The 18,446-nt window shown below is 37.7% G+C and overlaps 1 protein-coding gene across 3 annotated transcripts in view; it reads right to left on the bottom strand.

Moving 5' to 3' along the window:
• NLRP14 (NLR family pyrin domain containing 14) overlaps window positions 1–18,446 on the bottom strand; it is a 70,455-nt gene that overhangs the window by 49,079 nt on the left and 2,930 nt on the right. For all 3 annotated transcript variants that reach the window (XM_011520044.2, NM_176822.4, XM_047426867.1), the window contains exons 2-3: window positions 2,947–3,256; window positions 2,037–2,108 (exon numbers count right to left, since the gene is read on the bottom strand). In XM_011520044.2, coding sequence (XP_011518346.1) covers window positions 2,037–2,108; window positions 2,947–3,235 — 361 coding nt within the window. In that variant the 5' untranslated portion in view covers window positions 3,236–3,256. The remainder of the gene's footprint in view (window positions 1–2,036; window positions 2,109–2,946; window positions 3,257–18,446) is intronic.

The raw sequence follows: 18,446 nt of genomic DNA, 5'->3' as shown, positions 1-18,446 counted from the left end.
TCCCTCCTTTAGATCTCTATTAAAAGGATAGGATCTCAGGGAAGACCTCTCTGAACCTCATCGCTAGACTACTTCCCCTTTTTATATATTCTCAAAACAGTATATTTTTCATTCACAGTACATGTCACTAGCTACAATTACTTTATTTTTAAAATAAATGATGCACTTGGCTAGGGGCTTCATCATTGCATGGTCAGTGTCTAACACATTTCCGTGCACATAAGTGTCAAATATATTTGTGCAATAAAAAAATGAGAATACAATGATATAATTGAGTACTTTACAACTTTTGAATAAGGTATAACTATAGGTACTAATATCCCCCCAAATAATAACCAAAAAAGATATGAAGTTTCTGGCAATTATGTAGAATATGATCCTCTCCTGGAAAAAAGATGAACAAACTTTATGTATCTGAAAACATGTACCATATACACCAATATATTAATACTGGTTATTTCTGAATAGTAGGATTGGGGATGGGGAGTGGGAAGAGTGAGAAACTCACTTTATGTAATTTTAAAACATTTGAATCTTTTTTAAAAAAATAGCTCATTTTGCTTATGTGAAGTTTAAAAACAAAGATAAAACATAAACAAATGATAACTAAAAAATCCCAAAAAGCGAAAATAATGATTGGCCAGGCAGGGAGAAGAAAAACACTATTTACCCAAAATTAAAACCTACCACGAAACTATAGTAATTCAAACAGTGTGATATTGGTATACTCACAGAGAAAATAATCAGTAAATCATTGCTGTACTTCTTATTTTCTATTTTGTACTTACAGTATTTTCCAAAGTTCCCATAATAAATAGTTTACTTTTATCACAATTTTCAAATAATAATTTGAAGACATTTATTAGCTATCTGTGTGCAATTATCTGCACATAAGAGGGAAATAGCCATTAGGTTTGAAATAATAATAAAACAAAAATTATTAGCCATGTGATTTTTCTCATACCATAAAGATATACTTCTTTATATTGAATCAGAAATTAAGGTCACAGTGGGATGTTATATTCAAGGTCATTTAAGATAACAAGTAATTTTTCTATTTTAGTGCTTGGGATGAACTAAGTTTTCAATTATTTCTTGAATGAAATAATGTGGCTTGTTAGAATGTGGCTGGGTTAAGAATAAAGGTTTCTCACTTGATCTAATTTTCTTTCTACTGTAATTCCATTTATATAAATTGGAATTAAATTATGTAGAATTCAAAACAAAGTGGGGAAATGGTGTTAATAAACCAGTGGTCTGAAATCCCCAATCTTTTGGGCACCAGGGGCCAGTTTCATGGAAGACAATTTTTCCATGGATGTAGGAGGCAGGGGTGGCAGGGCAGGGAGGGGAGATGATTTCAGGATGATTCAATTGCATTACATTTATCATCAGATTCTCATAAGGAGCATACAACCTAGATCCCTTGAATGCACAGTTCACAATAGGGTTCGTGCTCCTATGAGACTAAAGCAGCTGCTGATCTGACAGGAGGCGAAGCTCAGGTGGTAAAGCTCCCGTGGCCTACCACTCACCTCCTGCTATGCGACCTGATTCCCGAGGGGCCGCCGACCAGTAGGGGTCTGTGGCCCAGGAGTTGGGGACCCCTGTGTTAACTATGACTGAGAAGACCTGGTTCTAGAAATCAGTTTTTATATGAACCAGTTGGTCACCACTCCTAGAATTTAATTACAGCACCATCTTTAAAGAAAGTAGATGTGATAAACTGAAAGTTTCCTCCCAATTCAGTGACTTTTAGTCCATAAAATATAAACATTAATATACCTTTGTGCGTCAGCCCTTCTTTTAGCAGGCATTCTAAACACTGTTCTCTTGAGGATCTGAATTAACAAGGCCCTGATTCTGACTTTGGCCAGGGAGTGTTTTGCTGATCCTTTTTGGGTGACATTCAGGGAACAGGTGGGGTATTAGAAGAAGTTAACAAGATTTGAACAAAAGTCCTCGGGAGATAAATCACCGTCCTGTATCAAAACTTTGAATGCCTCCCAAATCTGATGAAAGGCCTAACTACTCACCCAGCACTGCCTCCTGATCTTCTTGTGTCTCTCCAGCCTTGGCATCATCTGGTCCTATAGTCTGGGCCGACCCTGCAACAGGTTCCGATAGGATCATGATATTTAATGAAAACAAAGTGAGCTTTCATGATGGCTAGAACAGAGGCCAGCATTCACATAAGTGGTCCAATTCTATGACTATCTGGGTTTAAGAAAACTAGAGCTGCCAGAGCCTCAGACTCCATAAGCTTAGCTGAGAGAAGAAACAATGTGATACAGATAACACTGAAGTAGGAGACCTCTTGCCATGGCCCCCACCTTGTAGCTCCAGGGCAAATAGTGTAGTGTATAAGCCTCAGTTTCCTTGTCTATACTGACTTCACTACGATACGGTGAGGTGCAAAGGAGATAATAGATATGAATATTATATATATACATATATATATATAACTCTAAAGCCTTGTATACGCGTAAGGAATTCTAGAGGTCTATAATATTTCATACCTGAGAATGACTAAAAATACTGCCTTGGATTACGTCCAATAATAATTTTCAGCCCATTCCTCATATTTCAGCAAATATGTTAAATCATATTTGATTCCTCAAAATGTTGCCTAACTTATAACTTGTAGTTTTGGTGAAGGCACTTTATGGGACAATTCCTATCACTCAATTCCTTTGATCATTTCAACTGGTACAAGATGGATGAATTGCCGCCAGTTAAGGAGCTAGGCTGAGTAACAGTACTCAAAACGCTTCTGCCTTTCCTTCCTCAAATAATTCAACAAGCTCCCCATGCACAAGACCACCATGGAGCTTATGTCCCCCAACATGGTTTAATCCCTAAATCCCTCTTACAGAAACATTCCACTGGGCTCCAGGAAACACTTCCTTCCTGCCTAGCCCCCGATTTGCCCCTAGCATCACTCACAGTTGATCTCTTCTTTCGCTCTCTCACACAGATCCTTCAGGTTCATCTTGCCAAAGATTTTGAGAGACACACTCCAGGCTTTCTCTCCTGGATAATATTTCTTCATCAAATTGGCCAGGTCCTCCCGCCTGGCCTTCTTCACTTCATTCCAGGGTGTCAGGCCATGCTCAGGTTCCATGGTCTCCTTTAGGAATAACTTGAATGTATTTAATTCCTCTTTGTTTAGCTCCTCCAAATACAATAGCAGCCCAAAATCAGGAAAGAAAGAAGATGATGATGAATCTGCCATCTTGTCCAAATATTCAGGCCTCTGTGGGGGGAAAAAAAATAACCAAAAGCACATGGAATAAATGGGACACATGAAAAAGACAGATTTGAAAATGAAATACTTATATAGATTAATTTAACAAACATTTGCAGAAGCCCACTGTATTAGGCTCGGTACTGACCTAGTGTCCTCTGTAATATATCTTCTTTCACAAAGCATTCCTCTGATATAGACCACTGTACTGTATATTTATTCCATCTTCTTATGATCTGTTCCCAGTCCTACCACTTATGAGCTATATAAATAAAGGTAATTCCTCTCTTTGAACCTCAACTTACTCTTCTGCTAAGTGGGGATAGCAGAGCCAACCTCTAATTTTAGTATGGATCAAATAAGATAGGGTTCATATATCACCTGGCACAGAACTGGCTCCTCCTAAGTATTGCTAACTGTCCATCCTCATCCCTTCTATCCCCCAACAACATCTAATATACATCTCAACCTATAAAACATTGTTATTGCACCCCTGCCAACACATTATTACTCAACAAACACATGCAATTAGAATATGCCACCATCTACCTCTTCTTGTCATGTCATTTCTGGTCATAAATACATATATAATTACTGAGGGTCTTTTGTAGTACACAAGCTCCTTTCATGCACTTTCCCCAACACCACAGTTAGTCTGGGTGAGTTCAGTGTTAAAGTGCATCAAAAACATCCTCATCTCACGTCTTTGACATCAACTCCCATGACCTTACTGCTCTCTGGCAGTTTACTCTAATGCTCTCACCCCAGGCTTTGTCAATGACTACTCAAACTTTTAAGCTGCAAACTCCCATAACCCATTTTTTACTAATATCTTCCAGTTAACTGAGTGGTTTCATGCCCTTACTCGGTGACAGTTCTTCAAACATCATCAAATCCTTTTGAGCCCTGCGTTTACCCCTCATCAGCCATCTTAAGGGCCTTATTCAATTTCTTATTCAGCATGGGTGCTCCAATTAATCACTTAATCCATACTCTCCCAAGCACCATCAAGTTTTCTTAATCTGTTTTGGTGAATTGCCTGAAGAGATAGAGCTAGTAAGTGATGCAGCTGGAACTCAACTTAGATCTTTCACTAAAATTCCTGCCCTTTCCAGTCTTTCATAATGTCTCCCCCAATTCTTGCTAATATGATTGGAAAAAAAAGACGGATGGGGGAAATAAAAGTATATAGAAGGGAGAGTTTTTCTTTTAAACAGAAGGTGAATTGTCTCGAAACATATAGTAAATCTGGATTTTATCCTACAGTAATTGGTGAGCTATCAGCTGTTTTAAGGTTGTTTGTTTAACTACATGGTAAAAATATTCTAGATTACAGATAAATCTGACAAAAACAAGTCCTATAGTAATTTTTTAAAAAGCATAAAGGAAAAGATTTGAGGAAACTTCAAAAAAGAACTCTGAAATTTCTCCAGGACATAGAGAATATGGTAGGTGAGGGAAAGCAAGGCACAGAATACATCTTCCGCTTCCTTTCTAGAAATCTGCAGGTATCCCTACATGTGGGTCCATCTTTATCTTTGTCTTTCCTGTAACAAATGAGGGGCGCTCTCTTCCCTTTTCTATAGCTTATTTCTCTACCTGTGATCTAAATCTCATAAGCAATTGTTCCTGAAGGGATTTAATCCATTAGAAATCTATCTTCTTGATCTTCAACTTCTCCCTGTCCCCTAAGTCCTACTCATTAGCACTTAAATGTGCCCAAATCTCACTTAGTCTTTTACAAATATTCCCTTTACTCCAAATCCCCTTCATCTTCATAGTCAAACTTCTTCAATCTTCTATACTCTATCACCTATTATATTATACCTCCTCAATCCACTGCAATAGAACTTTTGCCACCACAATTCCACTGAAATAACTCATACCAATAACCTCCTTGTTACAAAACTCAAGGGGCATTTTGGGATTCAATTTTCCCATCTGTAAGCAGGAATAGCAAGAGTACCTACCTCTGCAAGGATTAAAAAAGCTAACGCATGCACCTAACTTTAACAAGGTGCCATATGTTAATAATACTATTTTAACAATGCCTTACATCTTGATATTTACACTTGTCTCTTTGCTGTCATAATCCCACACTTTTTTCATTTTCCTCCTCCTTTCTGGGTGTCCCTTTGAGCCGAGATCTATATGAGTCTGAACCCTATTAGCTTTCTACTATATGATATCTACAATTATAGTAGAGTAGAATATACTATAGTCTCCTTCCCAAAGGTTTTACGCTGTCCTCGAAGGAATTTGTTGTTTTGTTTTGGCTTTTTACCTTTTTAGAAAGAGGAACACATGTTTGGCACTGTTTCTCTTATAGGAAGGCATTCATTCATTCAAAAATGCCCTGAACTAAAATGGGAACCCATGGTCTATGAGGATTTTAATTTGCAAATTTATTGATGTAAATTTTTGCCTATAACAAAGCATATTTGTTCAAAATAATTAGCTCATATTAATAATGACTATATTTGTGAGGACCTAGTGTATATAGATTCTTTACAAAAATTTTCTCTAGACTTTAAAACAGACCTGAAAGTTTGATTTTATCCACATTTATAGATACGGAGTCTCAGAAATTAAGAAACTTGCCCAGGTCATAGAGTTGACAAATGGCCTATCATACTACAAAGCTCATTCTCTTTCTACTACATAGCATTGCCTTTTAATTTCACTTCATTTTCCTAGGCATTGGAAATTCAGAGTTATACAAAATCTGTGTGGCCATGCTCTGTGATAGCAGACCCTATGCTGAACACCAGACTAGAAGAGGAAGACCTCTAAATATAGCATGACTATCATCTGGGCCAGAGTAGTTCTAGGAGGACACAAAGGGAGAAGGGAATCTCACCTAGAGAGGGGAGAGATATGGAGGTCTCAGGGAGGTAAGATTTGACCTAGGAAGCCAGGTGTTTCCACCCTTTTCATATAGTCCGGATTGATTTCCTTTCTTGGTCGCTCTAATTAAATCTCCTATAGCAGTTTCCCAGCCTCAGTAGTACTGACATTTTAGGCTGGATATTTCCTTGGGGGATACTATACGTGCGTTATATGATGTTGAGCAGCATTCATGGCTTCTACCTATTTGATGCCAATTAGAACCCTGGATCTTCTACAGTTGTGACAAACAAAAAATGTCTCTAGATATTGCCAAATGACCCCAGGGCAGCAAATTTCCCCCCAGTTGAAAAAACTTCAAGAGTCTAACCTCTACTGCTAAGTGAACAACTTCGTTTTTTTGGAGATGGAGTCTCGCTCTGTCGCCCAGGCTGGAGTGTAGTGGTGGATCTCCACTCACTGCAACCTCTGCCTTCCCTCCTGGGTTCAAGCGATTCTCATGGCTTAGCCACCCAAGTAACTTGGACTTCAGGTGCCTGCCACTATGCCTGGCTAATTTTATTTATTTATTTATTTATTTATTTATTTTTGGATTTTTAGTAGAGACAGGGTTTCACCATGTTGGCCATGTTAGTCTCCAACTCCTGACCTCAAGTGATCTGCCCACCTAGGCCTCCCAAAGTGCTGGGATTACAGGTGACAGGCATGAGCCATGGTGCCTGGCCTAAATGTACAACTTCTGTCATGATAATTAAATCAAAGAAAAAGAGTAGATAGCCAAGAAAATACATTCTCATTAGATTTCAATATATTATAGAAGAGACACCATAATTGGGAGGAAATAATTCAGGGTCGTTCATTAGCACAACTTGTAAACCATTTTGACAAGAATTAATTAGTATCCTCATAATAAATCCCAGATATAGTAAGTAGTACATCATTAATACTTCAAACCAGGGAGGAGAAAACAGCAAAGAATATTCATCACAACTTAGGAAAGAAGGGACTTACCAGTTTGGACACAGTAAGGGAATTGACCAAGAACCACAATGAATATTTGAAGATATATTGTTAACTATGCTGAAATTAAAACCTCTTGTCCTTAGAATTCAAACACAAATGGTCAACCAAAAACAGAAAAATGTTTACAGGGAATATGGCAAATAAACAACTGAAGTGTAAATTAATAAAACCACTTTAAAACTGTTTGAATTAACTACTACAATTGGAGATGTCCACCCAGGCCCAAATTTTGGTTTCTAACTGTACCATTTGCCAATAAAAGGAATCAGGGCTCCTCTGAGAAACTGCTGATTCTAGGGCTGGGACAGGGAATAGATACGATGAGCCGATAGCATCTCATAGTGCCAGAAATAAGGAAAGGAAAATAATGGGGTATGCAAAAAGACCTAAGATAAAACCAGAAAGAGCTCCTGATGGCCAAAATAAATAACAGTATTGGATTATAGCCCAAAGTACAAAGCAAATGTCCATGAGTCCGTACTGATATTGACAAATGTCCGAATATATGAGAGAAAAGAGACAAATCTCTCTTAGAGAAGATTTCCAAATACTGTGTGTAGGATATTCTTCCCTCCAGGAAGTGGCGGTTAACCCAACTGCACCCCACCTCCCAGAGCGCTGACTGTGCTTATTGATTTCTTTCCAAAGAGAGCAGTATGGGAGCAGGTGGGGACAGTGGAGAAACTTTTTAGTGAGAAACCTGACAAACACTCTCCCAAGATCAAGGCTACTATTACCAGCCATAAGTCATTGTGATCGTATGTGCTATTGATACTGTGAATGGCATGTTGCCACCATGATATTCCTTCCCCAAACCCATCATCCTAGTCTAGCCATAAGAAAAAACAAAGTGAGGGACATGATACAAATTACCTGACTAGTACTTCTCAGAACTGTCAAGGTCATCAGAAAACAAGGAAAGACTGAGAAACTTTCACAGACCAGAGGAATCTACAGAGACAAAATGTTCGTTAACTATGCTGAAATTAAAACCTCTTGTCCTTAGAATTCAAACACAAATGGCCAACCAAAAACAGAAAAATGTTTACAGGGAATATGGCAAATAGACAACTGAAGTGTAAATTAATAAAACCACTTTAAAACTGTTTGTATTAACTACTAAAATTGAAGATGTCCACCCAGGACAATACTGTACTGTAATAATAAATGTAAATGTAATATTCAGGAATAGAAAAATGTAATATTCAGGAATAGAAAAAGAACACTATGGAAAAACTAGTGAACTTCAAATTAAGTGCAACTTAATTGCCTTATTGTCTTCATTGTGACAAATATACCATAGTAATGCAAGATATTAAAAATTGGGGAAATTGGGTGACAAGAAATTTCTGTAATTCTAAAAAATACTATTCTAAAATGGTTATTCCTTAAAACTGGAAATATACATACACTATGACAGAGCAATTAAAGTTCTTAGAAAATATCCAATAGAAATATGTGTGTAGGTATACCAGGAGATATACAATAACTACAGCAGCACTGCTTGTAATTCCTAAGCACTTGAAAAGATCCAAGAGTTCATCTATAGTAGAACCAATCAATACATTGTGGTAAATTCGTACAATGAAATCCTAAACAGCAAAGAAAACATATGATTGAAGCTATATGCCACTAGAATAAATCTCATAACTAGTGGAAGAAGCCAAATCAAACAAGATTATGAAGTAGCTATTATAAAAGTCCATTTCCTAATACCTCTGTGGAGATGAGGTGGAGGGGGATGAAGGGGGCCTTATGTCCTGGTAACGAATGTCCTATTCCTTGACCTGCTGATGTTTTACATGAGTGAACACTTGGTAATCATTTACCAAGCTGCATGTTTATGCTCAGTGCAGTCTTTTATGAGTTACAGTTCACACTAAAATATTGTCTTGAAAATGTTCATATCCCTAAAATGACATGATACAAATAGATCAGAATAGCAATAAAGCAAATTTATTGTGAATAGCCTATTCATAGAAGGGGAAAAAAAGCAAAAAGCAAATGGCTAACAAGTATTTCAGAAAATTTTCAAACTTAGGCAGATAGCACAACTAATGCAAACCAGGAAACAGCCCTTCTCAAAGAACAAAATGACAAAAATAAGCTTTAAAAAGCAGTACCATATAAAAGGAGTTAATATAAATGTTAATTGCTACACTCTTGAAAAACTGCATGTCTGCATGTCTACTGAGAATTTTACAAACATGCATGAGTTTTCAAACAGTATCTTCTTTGGGAAATCATCCACTGAAAAAAAAATCCTAAATACAGAAAAGAAAGTTTTGTGCATAAGGGTGTTTGTTTAGAATAGTAAATAATTGTCAATAAGGATTCAATTATAATGAATGTATAAAAATATAGCACACACTTGATTTTTAGTCATGAAAATGACCTCGTCATACAGCAAAACAGTTGGCAGGTATATGAAGATTACAACTAAGCAAAGAAAACAAAACCTCTACATAAAAAAAACCAAAATGTACTTAAAATAATTACCACAAATTGTCCTAACTCAAAACACAACTGAGTTTAGGACAATTTTTGACAATTATCTCTCATTAGAATACATTCCTTAAATAAGTGGAGAAATAAAAAGGTAAAAAGGCAATATCCATTTGCCAAATTCCAAAAAGTTAAAGAAATGAATGCCTGCCATCTGTACTTGAATTTGGCGTGTTGGCAATAATTGCTAACTTGCATAGAGAGAGCAATTTTGGGTCACTGCTGGAGTAGAGGGAGTGGGGGTGCTAAAGCACTAAAGCACTATAGGCTAGAGAGGATGACCAACGCCGGGAGCAAGCATGTGCTACCTTACTAATATTTCTTGAACTTTGCTAGGGAGAAGTGGAGAGACAGATACTGATAACCTGGAGCACCAGTGAGAGCAGCTGTTGCACCTGCAAAGCAGTTTTCAGGCGGTTTGTTTCGTTTTCAGTAGGGAGAGGGGCTAGGGGAAGACTCAGAGTGAATGAAAGACGGCAGAACACAGGTGGCGGGAATAGCTTCAGACTGAAGGACGAACACCTGCTCCTGGTTAGAGAGGCGAGGGGCTTGCCTCCATTCGTCAAGGCTGGTGAAAGTGGGGCTATTCATACCGCTTTAATCCAGGAGATTCAAGAAGCGGGCACTGCACGCAGTGCCTGCCAAATTCAAGCACAGTTGGCAGGCATTCATTTATCTCTTTGGAATTTGACAAATGGATACAGGCCACACTAGGTCTCCAGCCGAAGACTACTTGCAGGTGACCGTGGACTCGCACCCTCAAGGTCGCTTTTCCACCCTGGTCATGGCCGGCGCCATGCCCAGAAGTGTCCCACCCTGGGGTGTCCTGGCAGCTCATCCTCTTGGGCCCTGAGTCCACATCCCTTTCATTTTCCACACAGAATGTGGACGCTGGATGGACTCGCACAGAACCCAACTTCCCATTTTAGAGTGGACAAAGTACGCATCCAGAGAAGAGGAGAGTCATTCCATACCTCGGTCTCACCAGGCGTCGGTGGCAAAGGGTATAAGCGCCAAAAGCCAGGCCTCAGAAGGACAGGAAAGGATCAACAGGCATTTGCTGTTCCACCAGAAAGGGGAACGCACTCTGGCCCTTAATGCCTCACCTTCCTCCTCCCCTGAGAGAAGAGCAAACCCGCTAAGAGGGCTGCGGGCCAGCGTGGGTGGTTGGACCCCACCGCCTGACCTAGCGAATCTCTCTTCCCATTGGCTGGAGGGGCCAAGGGAGCTCTGCTCCCACTCTCCGCCTCTATGCTTGCTCTTCCACTCATTTACCGCAGAAGATTCAGTGTTCAATATAGGATCCCCTGCGCTCAGCAAACCTGTGGGCGCACGTCCTTCCTCCTTGCTTTCCCGATGTGGGAAAGAGGAAGTCGGGGAATTGAACCCCAGCTTTGAAGGACCTTTCCCAGACTGGCTGACTCCCAATAAGCAGTGTCCCTTTATTCGTCCATCTAAAATCCGTACGATTATTGAGCATCTTATTTGTGCCTGTCAGTTTTCTGGACCCTGTCTAGCAGTGAATAAAATATCCAAAGTCTTGCTCATCTAGCCCTTACCTCCATGGAGCTTACATTCTGTTGAAGGGGCACAAATAATGAATTGTAGTATACCAGGTGGTAATCATTGCTATGGAGAAAATCAGAGTGGGGCAAGGAATACAGCGCTGGGGGTGAAAAGTGGGGGTGGGTCCTATTTCTCTTTGAATAGCAAGAGAAGCCACTGCTAAGGCGATATTTGCAGAATGTGAAAGTGTGAACAATGCAGATATCTGGGAGATGGAGCATTCCAGGAGGAAGAAATAGCAAGTGCAGAGACCCTCAGTTAAGAGCCTACTCGATATATTTAAGGAACAGCTGAGTCAAATCGACCACAGTAGTCACCAAGGCTGTGTGTTGATTTATGGATAGTGCAATTTCATTCAAATCCTACATGACTAGAACTGCTCTAAGATGAATTCATGGCCTTGGCCCCTGAAGACAGTCTTAGAAGCTAATAGATCCAGTAGCTTCAGGATTGAGAATTGCCTCTCAGATGAGAAACCTCTGGATCACATGGGTAAATGGATGCTCTGTTCTGATGGCTTCCTTTTTCTAAGGATTACCCATTTGGAACAAGTTTTCATATTCATATAGCAGCCAGATTTGGGTGATTTATCCTTATTTAAGACAGCATTTCTTCAGCTGGACTCTTCATGGAGAACTTTAAGCGTTATTGGCAAAGGAGGAGCCAGTATTCGTTGGCATTAAGAAAATGTACACTCTAGGCAACTGATACTAAGGACTCAGGCATGCTAGTTAGCAAGATGGGCCCAACAACCTCAATAACAACCAGAAATCAGAAGCTTAGATTATAAAGATTCATACAAAAACTACCTCAAAAGGATAACCAAGTGTAGGGTGAGAGAAAAGGTAAACTCTTTTTAGTTTGGTTACAACATACTATATTAAATTGCTATAATGTGCTGAATATTACATTCACGAGTATGTGCATCTTAAGAGAAACTATAAATTCTAGGTTTGGTTTTGAAATTGTTTCTAACATGCACATAAAACCATGAAATAGAACATTTTTGCTGTCCCATGAAAGATATCCGTATAAATATTCATACTGTTATTATCTTGTTCTATTTTTGTTTTGGAAGGACGTGTGCCCACAGGTTTGCTGAGCGCAAAGATCCTATATTGAACACTGTATCTTCTGTGGTAAATGTGTGGAAGAGGATAGAGGCGTTTATATATAAACTTATATTTGGAAGTGTTATTTCTTCAGAGAGATCTTATAAGAAACCTGGACTTTTGAAGTTATTGCAATGCCTCGTGAAAGTGATCTTTAATATCTAAAAGGTCTGCAAATATGAGTGATTGTAGTACTTGTTCATTTGTTGCTGTTAATATACTTTAAATGACATCTCTGTGTTGCAAAAAGGTAAAAATGCTTGTAGGATTTCTTTGCCAAATTGAAAGAACTTGTCACTTCGCTTGTCTACCACAAGCATAAAGGTAAAATAAAAGTGGTAGTATTCCATTTTTACTAAGAGTTTGAGAGACTTCCTTATAGGCCCCTAATTTCTTCCTGTCTGTACTTACATCAATCCCTCCCAATAAACAATACACATTGAACATATCAATTCTCTGGTATGTATCCTTTTACATTTTTTCTTCATGCTGCATAATTAAATTAACAGTCACACACACAAATACAAGTAACAAAATTTGAGTTACTCTTTTGTTTGTATTTTTACTCTCACCCAATAAATAATTTTACTTATTTATTTAGTGGGTATTGATCTTTCCTTACTCCACACCTTCCCACCTAGAGAATGGATCCATAAAAGATAAAGATTTTTATTTCATTCATTTTTTTAATTCTCAGTACCTAAAGCAGTGAATGAATCAATCAACAGCACCTCATTAATGAAAGAAGGGAGTAAAGTGAAAACAAGAATGGCAAGTTGAAGAAATAACAATTAGTCCAGAATGGCTAATATGGGATAAGGCAGCGAAATAATGGAATACGAATCAGAGAAATGGGGGGAAATGAGAAAGGTAGGAAGAGAGATATCATGTAGAGCTCTATATGTCACTGTAATTCCTTGGCTTTCACTCTGAGTAAACTAGGAAGCCAGCTGAGGGTTTTGGGCAAAGTGAATAATAGCTATTATGTTTTAAGAGAATCATCCTGGTTCTATATGAAGTATCCTGGAGTACAGCAATGGCAGAAGCAAGCAGACCAGTTAAGAGGCTATTATAATAATCCAGATGAGAGAAAATGATGTCTAGGGCGAGGCCGGTAGCAGTCGTGGTGCTGAAAGTAGTCATATTCTGGGTTTTTAAGATAGAACTGCAAGAATTTGCTGACAGAACAGATTGGGAGGTAAGACAAAAGAAAGGAGTCAAAGGCAAATCTAAGATACTGACTTGGGAATCTGGAAGAAAGAGATTGAGAAGATTGTTTAAAAAACCAAGTTTATGAGGCATTTCAGGAGTACATTTTTGGTAAATTTGGGATGCCTATTAAACATTGAAGTCAAATTGACAAGGAAGGAGTTTGGAGTTAGAATTCAAAGTCTGAGCAGTAGATACAAACTAGAAGTCACTAGCTTATAGGTGGAATTTAAAGCCATGGAAGATCATTCCGGGAGTGAGAATAGAACATTCAAAGACTGATCCCTGAGGAATCACTCTACTGTTTAGAAGTCACAGAGAGGGAGCAGACCTGGGAGGCGGTAATAAAATTGTTTTCAAAAAAGCATGAAAAAGAACATCCAGAGAGGAAAAACCTGAAGAGCGTGCTGTCTAAAACTCCAAGTGAAGAAAATGTTTCAAGGTAGAAAGAGAGATTAATTGTACCAAATGCTTGAAATCAATTGTGCCAAATTCTGCTGATAGAACGAGATGAGACTGAAAACTGACCATTGAATTTAGCAACATTGAGATCAATAGTTACTTTGAAAACAGTAGTTTCAGTGAGACGGTAGGGTGAAACCTAATTGAACTAGGCCAAAAAAGACTGGAAGGAGAAAAAATTGAAGACAATGGACTACTTTCTAAGAAGTTTGGCTCAAAAGGAAGGACAGAAACGATACAGTAGCTGAGAGGGAAGTAGGCCTGCTATAGACTACATGTGTCCTCCCAAATTCATATGCTGAAACCTAATCCTCAATCTGATGATATTAGGAGGTGGAGACTTTGGGACATGATTAGGTTGTGAGGGCAGAGCCTTCATGAATGGAATTGGTGTCCTTATAAAAGAGGTTCCAGAAATCTCCCTGGTTCCTTCTGCCATGTGAGGACTCTACAAGAAGACAGCCATAAATCAACCAGGAAGTGGCCCTCACTAAACTGAATCTGCTGGTGCCTTGATCTTGGACTTCCAACCCCCAGAACTGTGAGTTTCTGTCATTGTCAACCATCTAGTTTATGGTATTTTGTTATAAGAGCCTACACTAACTAAAACAGGGCCCCAGAAAATTTTATTGTTTTGTTTTAGAGAAATGACAGCATACTTGATGATGGGAAGGATATAGTATAGAGGGAAAAATTGACATTGAAAGGGAGGGGAATTACTGGAGTTAGGTGCATGTGGCATGTGAGCAAGAATGGATGGAAACTAGTGACTACATGAACAGGCTTCTAGCTAAAAAGGGGCACTGATGCAGGTAGGTGTGTGAATGCATTGTGTGGATGGGCAAGGGTATGGAAGTTCTCTTTGCTTCTTTTCTTTTTTATTATTATTATTATACTTTAAGTTTTAGGGTATATGTGCATAATGTGCAGGTTAGTTACATACGTATACATGTGCCATGCTGGTGTGCTGCACCCATTAACTCACCATTTAGCATTAGGTATATCTCCTAAAGCTATCCCTCCCCCCTCCCCCTACCCCCCATGGTGTATATGTGCCACATTTTCTTAATCCAGTCTATCATTGTTGGACATTTGGGTTGGTTCCAAGTCTTTGCTATTGTGAATAGTGCTGCAATAAACATACGTGTGCATGTGTCTTTATAGCAGCATGATTTATAATCCTTTGGGTATATACCCAGTAATGGGATGGCTGGGTCAAATGGTATTTCTAGTTCTAGATCCCTGAGGAATCGCCACACTGACTTCCACAATGGTTGAACTAGTTTTCAGTCCCACCAACAGTGTAAAAGTGTTCCTATTTCTCCACATCCTCTCCAGCACCTGTTTTTTCCTGACTTTTTAATGATTGCCATTCTAACTGGTGTGAGATGGTATCTCACTGTGGTTTTGATTTGCATTTCTCTGATGGCCAGTGATGATGAGCATTTTCTCATGTGTCTTTTGGCTGCATAAATGTCTTCTTTTGAGGAGTGTCTGTTCATATCCTTTGCCCACTTTTTGATGGGGTTACTTGTTTTTTTCTTGTAAATTTGTTTGAGTTCATTGTAGATTCCGGATATTAGCCCTTTGTCAGATGAGTAGGTTGCGAAAATTTTCTCCCATTCTGTAGGTTGCCTGTTCACTCTGATGGTAGTTTCTTTTGCTGTGCAGAAGCTCTTCAGTTTAATTAGATCCCATTTGTCAATTTTGGCTTTTGTTGCCATTGCTTTTGGTGTTTTAGACATGAAGTCCTTGCCCATGCCTATGCAGAGCAATTAAAAACACATTCATCAGTTGAGGATGAAGATGGCAAAACTCATAATCAGTTTTGTAAATGTTCTATGTACACAAAATATACTATCAATTCTAGGGTTATAAGGTTTCTATATATACCTTTGAAATTCAGATTATTATACTATTCAATCTGTGCGTGGCTTTATTTTATTGTATTGTAGTTCTAATTCTGAAACACAAATATTGAATTTTCCCATAGAACTGTATTTTTTTAATCAAGTACTCAAATTTATGCATGTATTTAGCTCCATGTATTTAGCAGGTTTGATGGCATTATACTTCTTCATAAATTGTACCTGTTATCAAAATATAAGGCCAATCTCTTTCTTTAGTTCTTAAATTAACCTTCAATTATTTGACATTTTTGCTCATTTGCCTCGTATCTTTTTTTACTCACCTCACAGATGTTTCTAGAAAACAGCATAGGGTTGGATTTTGTTACTTGAGTGACTCTGAGAGTTTCTTTCTATTGAAAAATTCAGTCCATTCACATTTAGCATAATGACTAATAATTTATTGCATCCTTTATACATGTAACTTTTGGTTTATTATTTATTTTATATCTTGGCTTTCTCTGTTTCCTTGTCCATAATTTTTTGTGGGGTATTTCTGTTTTTGGTTTGTTATTTGTTTGGAGTACTTTCTTGAATTGTGAACTCAGGGGACATCTGAGTGATACAGGCTCTGAATTCTTGAAAATCCTTAAACATTTATTTCACTACATTAGGGAGAGATGATATTTTGGCTGATGTATTGAAGCCCCTTTATCCTACTAGTCTATACTGCTATTGAACAATTTTTTAGCTTCCAACATTACAAAAGAGAAGTCCAATGTCATTTTTATTTTTAGATAACTTACCCTTTTTACCTAAAAGCTTTTCTCTTTACCCTCACAGTATAGAAATTATACCTTTTTATGTCTAGTGTGTCTTTATTCACTAATCCAGACTGAAATGTCATGAGTTATTTGGTCTACATTCATGCCTTCTCAAAAATTTTCAACACAAAGACATTTTCTATTATTCTGTTAGTCATTTGTTTCTTCACTTTTATAAACTCCTCTTTCTTTTTTTCTAGAACTTTTGTGTCTACATATTAAGTCTTATAGATCTACTATTTAAGCCTATCATCTTTTTTTCATGATTTCCATCTCTATCTTTTTCCTCTTCTATGCTTTCAGGTATTTCTTTAACCAAATCATATAGGATACCTTTTGATACAAAAAGTGACCATTTTTTCTCCTCCAATTCAATTGCTAACATGCTTAATTAGAAATACATACTTTTTTCACATTTTACTCACATATTTTTTCCATTAAAATGTACAAATGTTCTAAGCTTATTAGAGATATTTATAAAAATACAGCATAACATAGACTTGTATGCATGCACACACACACACTCATGAAAGATTTGTGACAGATATGGACACAAAGCAGCAGGGGTAAGAAAGGAGGTCCACAATACCCACACAGATTCCAGAGACCTCTCTCAGTCACAAGGTTGTGCTTTATGGCCAGCAAGTGAACTACTAAGATATTTTGATTTCAGGGAAGGCACAGCTCATTCAAGTAGGGGTCTTTTATACTACTCCTGTCATGTAGCTGAAACCAGGATATGGGACCAGGTTCAATAGCAGAAACCAAGATAGCATAACAGAAACCAGATGCAAACCATGAATCAATAAATTTTCTATAAGCAATATTGGCAAGCTGTTACAGATTTCCCTCTTGGTATTTTTTGGAAAACTACGTTAGCACAAAACTGCATTAATTCCTATGTAGCATATTCTATTCTGGTTTGGCCAAGGATCAAAACCATGGCTCCAAGCATCCCTGGAAATATTTGTAGGATTTCAATATACCATTTGAGAGTTACAATGAAATTATACACTGTGGATTAGTATTTTTCATCAGGCTTGGAAAATTCTAAATTATTATTTCTTCACATATTGATCTTTGCTCATTTTATCTTTTCTGAGACTCTAATTTTGTATGTTAGATCATTGTTTCATTGTGTTTCATATGTTTCTGATATAGTTTGGATATTTGTCCCCACTGAAATCTCCTGTTGAAATGTAATCTCTAACAGTGGAGGTGGGGCCTGGTGGGTGGTATTTGGGTAATGGGGGTGTGTCCCTCATGGCTTGGTAATGTCCTTGTGATAGTAAGTTCTCATGATATCTGGTTAAGTGTGAGGAACCTCCCTCCCTACTCTCCCTCTCTCGCTGCTTCTCCCACCATGTGAGACATGCCCATAGCCCCTTCACCTTCCATCATGATTGTAAGCTTCTTGAAGCCTCCCCAAAAGCCAAGCAGATGCAAGCACCGTACTTCCTGTAAAGCTTGCAGAACTGTGAGATTAAACCTGTTTTCTTTATAAATTATCCAGTCTCAAGTTATTTATTTATACAATGCAAGATGGCCTAATATAATTTCTTATGTTCTTTTCTGTGCTTTCTTCTCTGCACTTTAGCTTGGAGATTTTTATATATAAATATAAATAAAATATATTAATATAAATATAAATATATTTTATATATTAATACATAAATTTTTATATATTTATACTTATATATTTTTGTGTAAAAATAGATTTATACATATATAAAATAAAAATTTTATAGTACAAATGTTTTTATATAAAAATGTTTTTATATAAAAAATTTCCAAGCTAAACATG

The sequence above is a fragment of the Homo sapiens genome, chromosome 11 (genome assembly GCF_000001405.40).
Source record: "Homo sapiens chromosome 11, GRCh38.p14 Primary Assembly".
In the NCBI taxonomy this organism is placed as follows: domain Eukaryota; kingdom Metazoa; phylum Chordata; class Mammalia; order Primates; family Hominidae; genus Homo; species Homo sapiens.
The sequence above is the reverse complement of the archived record's forward strand: the minus strand, read 5'-3'. Positions and strand labels throughout refer to the sequence as shown.